The 8,769-nt window shown below is 48.6% G+C and overlaps 1 annotated feature.

Annotated features, from left to right (window-relative positions):
- Positions 819–1,438: an enhancer, noted in NCBI's record as "H3K27ac-H3K4me1 hESC enhancer chr6:7456191-7456810 (GRCh37/hg19 assembly coordinates)". NCBI's record gives its function as "activates a minimal SCP1, AML or CMV promoter by ChIP-STARR-seq in naive H9 embryonic stem cells {active_cell/tissue: H9 hESC(naive)}" and the evidence as "EXISTENCE:reporter gene assay evidence [ECO:0000049][PMID:30033119]".

The raw sequence follows: 8,769 nt of genomic DNA on the forward strand, positions 1-8,769 counted from the left end.
CTGCCACGTTGTGAGGACACTCAAGCAGCCTTATGAGGAGATTCACATGTGAGGAACTGAGGCCTCCTGCCTGTAGCCATACCACTGAGCCATCTCGGAAGTAGGTCCTCCAGCCCTAGCCAGGCTTTCAGATGACAGCAGCCCTGGTTGATTCTTGACTGCAACCTCATGAATGACCCTGAGCCAGAACTGCTTAGACAAGCCATTCCCAACTTCCTGATCCACAGGAATCGTGTGAGCTAAAAAGTGTTTATTGTTGTTTCAAGCTGTTTGGTTTTGGGGTAATTGTTATACAGCAATAGAACAACACAGTATCTGTAGAAATTACAGCTGGGATGAATCTCAATCACTCAAAGCCCTTGTGCCTCTGGCATCGCCCACGGTTGGGTGCAAATGTGCCTGGAGTATAGCAGTACCCCAAATCTCTTCTTTCGGGCTGGGCGTGGTGGCTCATGCCTGTAATCCCAGCACCTTGGGAGGCCAAGGCAGGCGGATCACCTGAGGTCAGAAGTTGGAGGCTAGCCTGGCCAACATGGCAAAACCCCGTCTCTACTAAAAATACAAAAATTAGCTGGGCGTGGTGGCGGGTGCCTGTAATCCCAGCTGCGCAGCAGGCTGAGGCAGGAGAATCGCTTGAACCGGGAAGTGGAGGTTGCAGTGAGCCAGGATCGCGCCATTGCACTCCAGCCTGGGCGACAAGAGCAAAATTCTGTCTCAAAAAACATTTTTTTAAAAAATTATTTTCTTTTTTTTTTTTTTGGTGGCAGGGTCTCGCTCTGTCACCCAGGCTGGATGACAGGCTCACTGTAGCCTCCCTTGACCTCCCAGGCTCAAGTAATCCCCCCACCTCAGCCTCCCGAGTAGCTGGCACTACAGGCGTGCACAACCACACCTGGCTAATTTTTGTGTTTTTTGTAGAGACAAGGTTTTGCTATGTTCCCCAGGCTGGTCTCCAATTCCTGACCTCAAGGAGTCCGTCCTCCTTGACTTCCCAAAGTGCTGGGATTATAAGTATGAGCCACTGCATCCAACCACTCTTAATTTTGAGAGGTGACAGTGTGCTGGCAGTCCTCACAGCCCTCGCTCGCTCTCGGGGCCTCGGCCTTGGCGCCCATTCTGGCCGTGCTTGAGGAGCCCTTCGGCCCACCGCTGCACTGTGGGAGCCCCTTTCTGGGCTGGCCAAGGCCAGAGCCAGCTCCCTCAACTTGCGGGGAAGTGTGGAGGGAGAGGCGCGGGCGGGAACCGGGGCTGCGCGGCGCTTGCGGGCCAGCGCGAGTTCTGGGTGGGCGTGAGCTCGGCGGGCCCCTCACTCAGAGCGGCCGGCTGGCCCCGCCGGCCCGGGGCAGTGAGGGGCTTAGCACCTGGGCCAGCAGCTGCTGTGCTCAATTTCTCGCTGGGCCTTAGCTGCCTCCCCGCGGGGCAGGGCTCGGAACCTGCAGCCCGCCATGCCTGAGCCTCCCCCCACCCCGCCGTGGACTCCTGCGCCGCTGGAGCCTGCCCTATGAGCGTCGCTCCCTGTTCCACAGTGCCCAGTCCCATTGACCGCCCAAAGGCTGAGAAGTGCGGGCACACGGCGCGGGACTGGCAGGCAACTCCCCCTGCGGCCCGGGTGCGGGATGCGCCAGGTGAAGGCAGCTGGGCTCCTGAGTCTGGTGGGGACTTGGAGAATCTTTACGTCTAGCTAGGGAATTGTAAATACACCAATCAGCACCCTGTCTAGCTCAGGGTTTGTGGATGCACCAATCGGCACTCTGTACCTAGCTAATCTGGTGGGGGCCTGAAGAATCTTTATGTCTAGCTAAGGGATTGTGAATACACCAATCGGCACTCTGTATCTAGCTCAAGGTTTGTAAATGCACCAATCAGCACTCTGTGTCTAGCTGATCTGGTGGTGACTTGGAGAACCTTTATGTCTAGCTAAGGGATTGTGAATGCACCAATTGGCACTCTGTATCTAGTTCAAGGTTTGGCAATGCACCAATCAGCGCTCTGTGTCTAGCTGATCTGGTGGGGACTTGGAGAATCTTTGTGTCTAGCTAAGGGATTGTGAATGCACCAATCGGCACTGTATCCAGCTCAAGGTTTGGAAATACACCAATTGACATTCTGTACTAGCTAATCTAGTGGGGACATGGAGAACTTTTGTGTCTAGCTCAGGGATTGTAAACGCACCAATCAGCACCCTGTCAAAATGGACCAATCGGCTCTCTGTAAAATGGACCAATCAGCAGGATGTGGGTGGGGCCAGATAAGAGAAGAAAAGCAGGCGCCCAAACCAGTAGTTGCGACCCTTTTGAGTTACTTTGCCGATAATGGAAGGGGTGTGTTTTGTGATGTCTTGCTGCAGGTTGGTGTATATGTTTCTATTACCTTTGTGAGCTATAACGCTCACTGTGAAAGTCTGTAGCTTCACTTTTGAAGCCAGCGAGACTACGAAACCACCAGGAAGAACGAACGACTCTGGCTACACTATATTAACAGCTGTAACACGGATAAGGTCTTTAGCTTTGTTCCTGCGTGTTTTGCCAGAAGGAGGAAGCTGAGCACATCCATCCATCAGAAGGAATAAATTCCAGATATACCACTTTTAAGAACTGTAAGAGTCACCGTGAGGGTCTGTGGTCTTGTTCTTCAAGGCAGTGAGACCAAGAACCTGCTAATTCCAGACCCAATTTTAAAGGTCTGATAAGCCTACTTGAGTAGTAGTGATAAAAATGGGAGCCAAGTGCTGGTTAGAAGAGGGAGGTTCCATGCTTAGTAAGGCCCCAGCCTCAATCCTGGGTGGCTGTTTCTAAATGAGGACAGGCATTCCTGTTATGTCTAAAAGGTGTTTTTTGGCTTGCCACACCCCCTATCCTGTACCTATATAAATCCTAAATGCCAGGCTCCTGAAGCAGGTAAGGAGATAAGCAAATGGCAGCATGGCACGGCAGAGCAAAGAGAAAGTGCATGTAAATGCTGAGAGGAGTTAGGCTGGGGATGGTCAGAGAAGAGATTGGCTGTTGGGCGGCAAAATTCCACAGGAAGATCATCTTTCCGTCCTGTCCTTCCACCTCTCAATCCATCCAGCTGAGCCACCTCCACCACTCAATGAGACGGTTGCATTCATTCTTCAAGTCCATGTGTGACCTGATTCTTATGGTACACTGGACAAGAGCTTGGGATACGGAAAGCTGTCACACTGGCTCTCTGCCTTTGCAAAAAAGCAGAGGATCCACTGAACTGGTTAACACCTATGCCATCCATCTACAGATGGCAATGCTGAAAGGGCACTGTAGGGCTCTGCATGGTGGCTCATGCCTGTAATCCCAGCACCTTGGGAGGCCAAGGCAGGTGGATAACCTGAGGTCAGGAGTTTGAAACCAGCCTGACCAACATGGTGAAGCCACATCTCTACTAAAAATACAAAATTGGCTGGGTGTGGTGGCAGGCGTCTGTAATCCCAGCTACTTGGGAGGCTGAGGCAGGAGAATTGCTTGAATCTGGGAGGCAGAGGTTGCAGTGAGCTGAGATGACGCCATTGCACTCCAACCTCGGCAACGAAAGTGAAACCCTGTCTCAAAAAAAAAATCAGTCTTTCTAAGAAAGGGAGGTCAGGGGTCTATCATCAGGTGCCTGGAACAGTCAGATCAGTTGTCAACCTTGAGTTTTTCCAGACGAACTCAAGGGGGGCTGGATTTTCCCAGAGCTCAGGCTGTAGGCTGCTAGAAGCCATGTCAGAGTTTGGTCAAAGCTCTCAAGAGACAGATTTAGATGAAGTTTTTCAGGCCGAGAGTTTTTGCGGTTCTCAGAAGACAGTGGCATTGAGTACATTCACACTGCCGTACAACCATCAAAACCCTCCATTGCCAGAACTTTTTCATCTTCCAAAAATGTGTACCCATTAAACAATAGCTCCCCATTCCTCCTCCCCTTAGCCCCTGACAACACCAATTCTTTCTGTCTCTATGAATCTACTCTAGGAACCTCATATAAGTAGAATCATACAGTACTTGTCCTTTTGTGATTGATTTATTTCACTGAGCATAATGTTCTCCAAGATTCATCCATGTTGTAGACTATAAGAATTTCCTGCTGGGGGCAGTGGCTCACGCCTGTAATCCCAGCACTTTGGGAGGCCGAGGTGGGCAGATTATGAAGTCAGGAGATCGAGACCATCTTGGCCAACATGGTGAAACCCCTTTTCTACTAAAAATACAAAAATTAGCTGGGCATGGTGGTGTGTGCCTGTAATCCCAGCTATGCAGGAGGTGAGGCAGGAGAATCGCTTGAACCAGGGAGTCGGAGGTTGCAGTGAGCCAAGATTGTGCCACTGTACTCCAGCCTGGGTGACAGAGCGAGACTCCGTCTCAAAAAAAAAAAAAAAATTTCCTTCCTTTTATAGTCTGAAACATCTCAGTATTACATTTTGAATACGGTACTGTCTATGTGTAACACTTGGCTTGTTTTCATCTTTTGGCTACTGTGAGGAATGCTGCTGTGAACATCAGTGGACAAATATCTCTTCAAGACTCTGCTTTTAATTTTTTTTTTTTTTTTTTTTTTGAGACAGGGTCTTGCTCTGTCGCCCAGGCTGGAGTGCAGTCGTGTGATCATGGGCTCAAGTGATCCTCCCACCTCAGCCTCCTGAGTAGCTAGGACCACAGGGGCACACTGCCATGCTCAGCTAATTTTTCTTATTTTGTAGGGATGGGGTCTCACTATGTTGCCGAGGCCGGTTTCCAACTCTTGGCTTCAAGCGATCCTCCTGCCTTGGCCTCCCAGAGTGCTAGGGTTAAGGCATGAGCCACTGCCTTGGGCCTGCTTTCAATTCTTTTGCTTATTTACATTTGCATCGTTAAGGCTGATCATCTATTAGCTCCTAAAATCTTGTCGAATTAGTTTCTTGGAAACAGCAATGGTCACGGCCGCTTGGCTGAGGCCCACCTTGGAGATGAGATCTTGGGAGGGCCAGGTGAAGATGAGGGGCCTTCAAACAAGGAGGCAGTGCCATGGGGATCGCAAAGCTGGCTGCACTGCTGGTGAACTGGGGCTCCTTGGCATAGGCTTGGGAGCTGTGGTTCGGCCCAGGCAGCAGCACGTTGACTCTCCTGCTGGCTTTGAAAGCCTTTGCAGTTGCTGTCAGCCTCTGCCTAGCATGCTCCTCCTCCAGCTCCTTCCCCACCTTTAGCTCTCAGATCTCATATCTTCTCCTCAAAGAGGCATTCCCCAAACACCTTAGACTCAGCATTTCCGTGGCCAAGTGATTCTCTAGCCTATCACCTGTTTAGAACCATTACAGCCTTAGCCTATATTGCAACAATTTCTTTTGTTTACTTATTTATTCTCTGATCTTCAATGTTAAAAGGTAAACTGAAGCACACTAAAATATTAAAAAGTTTATTTGGGCCAGGTGTGGTGGCTCACGCCTATAATCCCAGCACTTTGGGAGGCCGAGGCAAGTGGATCATGAGGTCAAGAGATCAAGACCATCCTGGCCAACATGGTGAAACCCCGTCTCTACTAAAAATACAAAAATTAGCTGGGCGCGGTGGCGGGTGCCCATAATCCCAGCTACTCGGGAGGCTGAGGCAGGAGAATTGCTTGAACCCAGGAGGCAAAGGCTGTAGTGAGCCAAGATTGTGCCACTGCACTTCTGCCTGGCGACAGAGCGAGACTCCGTCTCAAAAAAAGAAAAAAAAAAAAGTTTATTTGGCAAACGGTAATTCATGAATCTGGCAGTTCAAAGACCACAGGTAATTTGGGGCTTCCCTCAAAGAGGTACTAGGGGAAGGCTTTTACAGGGTGAACACGGAAGCAAAACAAATAAATTCATTTCTGTGTAAAATCTTGTTAGAGGTTAGTTGGCAGTTTGTGATGCCTAGAATATGACCATTTACAGGGAGTTGGGTTTCAGTTTGCTAGGTAGGAACCCAAGGTGCTGGAGTCTTCTCAGCCTAATGACCTCCCAGTGAATTATTTTGGCATCAACCATGCTGTAAGCACCGTGAGGGTGTGGGTCTTACCTGCCTGCATCCAAGCAGTGCTTGGCACATAGTACATTGTATACAAATTGTGGAATGACTATGATGATTTTGTGCGCATGAAGAATGTCGGCACCTCTAGTTATAGTCTAAACAGCACTGGGGAGGAGGCTGTGACCCCAGGACCCTGGTCACCTAAACCTCCCTGACCCAGGAAGTAGGCTTAGGAAAGATCTCTGGCACAAGCAGTTGGAGAAGGTCCTGGCAGGTGAGTAGAATGCAGACAATCATGATCTGAAGAGGGCTTGTGGAGGTCCAGGCACAGGAAACAACCACACTCAATCCTGGGATTGAGTTCAGGTACAAGACTCCATTCATTAGAAGAACCCCTGAGAACAGACAGGCTCAGCTAAGAGCAACGGGCCTGACATCGGAGTTACTTGACTAGGGCTGGACCCAAGGAATGCTGTCAGGAGAGGCTGATTAGTGGACCCAGGAATGGAGGCTTGAGTGTGACTAGCCACTCTGTGGCTAATGAGCTCTGTGTTTGCCAATGGGCTCATGGCTGTGAGGGCAATGCTGTGATTCAGCCAGCATTGGTCTAGATCCTGAGGTGGGGGTAAATAGTCTCAGCATTATGACTATGGGGCAATGGGAACCAGAAACCAGGCAGGCCATCCGAGCAAGCGTGGTACATTTAAAAATGATGTTTTACGGGACGTAAAAAGCACAGACCATCAAGGAAGGGTAGAAAAAGTAAATGTGTTAATATTATTTTATTTTATTTATTTATTTTTGTTAAAAGACAGCATAAACAAGGCTGAGGAGGATCACTTGAGCCCAGGAAGCAGAGGTTGCAGTAAGCTGTGATCACACCACTGCACCCCAGCCTGGGCGACAGAGTGAGACCCTATTTCAGAAGAAAGAAAGAAAAAAAAAAGCAGAAACTCAAACAGATACTGTATGCCAATTTTTATAGCAGCATTATTCCCAATAGTCAAAGGGTGGAAGCTGCCCACATGTCTGTCTATTAATAGATAAATGGATAAACAAAATGTTCTATACGTGTACAATAGATTTAATATTCAGCTTTGGGGCTGGGCACGGTGGCCCACACCTGTAATCCCAGCACTTTGGGAGGACGAGCCGGAGGAACGCTTGAGCCCAGGAGTTTGAGACCAGCCTGGGCAATATAGGGAGGCCCCTCTCTACAAAAAAATAAATTAATTAGGCCGGGTGCAGTGGCTCACGCCTGTAATCTCAGCACTTTGGGAGGCCAAGGCAGGTGGATCACTTGAGGTCAGAAGTTTGAGACCAGCCTGGCTAACACAGTGAAATCCCGTCTCTACTAAAAATACAAAAACTAGCCAGGAGTGGTGGCAGGTACCTGTAATCCCAGCTACTCGGGAGGCTGAGACAAGAGAATCATTTGAACCTGGGAGGCAGAGGTTGTAGTGAGCTGAGATCATGCCACTGCACTCCAGCCCAGGTGATAGAGTGGGATTCCATCTCAAAAAAAAAATTATCCAGGTGTGTTGGTGCACACCTGTATTCCCAGCTACTTGGGAGACGGAGGCAGGAAGACTGCTTGGACCGGGGCAGATCAAGGCTGCAGTAAGCTATGATCACACCACTGCACTCCAGCTTGGGCAACAGAGAGACTCTGTTTCTAAAAAAATAAAATAAAAATAAAATTATTCAGCCTTAAAAAGAAATGAGCTGGGGGGAAGGGAGAATGGGGAGTTATTATTTAATGTTAACAGTTTCAGTTTTGCAACATGAAAAGGAGTTCTGTGGATAGCTAGTGGTGATGGTAGCATCACAATGCGAATGTACTTAATGCCCCTGAAATGTACATTTCAAAATGATTAAGACATAAATTTTATGTGATGTATATTTTGCCACAACTTTTTTAAAAAGCAAGGAAATTCTGACACAGGCTACGACATGGATGAACCTTGAGGAAATTATGCTTAGTGAAAAAGGCCAGACACAAAAGGACAAATATTGTCATTCCACTTAGATCAGGTCCTTACAGTAGTCAAACTCATAGAGACAGAAAGTAGAATGATGGTTGCCAGGGGACTGGGGAGGAGAGAAAGGGGAGTTAGTGTTTAATGGGGACAGTTTCCGCTTGTGAAGAAGAAAAAATTCGGGAGATGGGTGGTAGTGTTGGTTGCACAAAATTGTGAATGTACATAATGCCGCTGAACTGTGCAGTTAAAAATAGTTAAGGCCGGGTGCGGTGGCTCACGCCTGTAACCCCAGCACTTTGGGAGGCTGAGGCGGGTGGAAAATCAGGAGTTCAAGACCAGCTTGGCCAACATGGTGAAACTCCACCTCTACTAAAAAAACAAAAATTAGCCAGGTGTGCTGGTGTGGGCCTGTAGTCCCAGCTACTCAGGAGGTTGAGGCACGAGAATCGCTTGAACGTAGGAGGCAGAGGTTGCAGTGAGCCAAGATGGTGCCACTGCAGTCCAGCCTGGGTGACAGAGTGAGTTTCAAAAAAAAAGTTTAGATGGTAAATTTTATGTATATATATTTTACCACAATATTTTAAAAAAGACAACACAAACAATGGGAAAAGACAAGCTATGGACTAGGAGAAGACATCTGTTTGGTTTTTATATCTATATTCATTGATTTATCCTGTCTGGAAACAAAGTTTCTGGATCAGAAAACAGACCAATTATTTGCTCGAATAGCAGTCTGATTGCCAACTCCCCATCCCTCAGTTTCCCACAGGGCAGCACAGTGTGACCCAGATGTACCCTGCAGATACAGGCCTCTGTGCCACAGGCAAGAG

The sequence above is a fragment of the Homo sapiens genome, chromosome 6 (genome assembly GCF_000001405.40).
Source record: "Homo sapiens chromosome 6, GRCh38.p14 Primary Assembly".
NCBI lineage: Eukaryota > Metazoa > Chordata > Mammalia > Primates > Hominidae > Homo > Homo sapiens.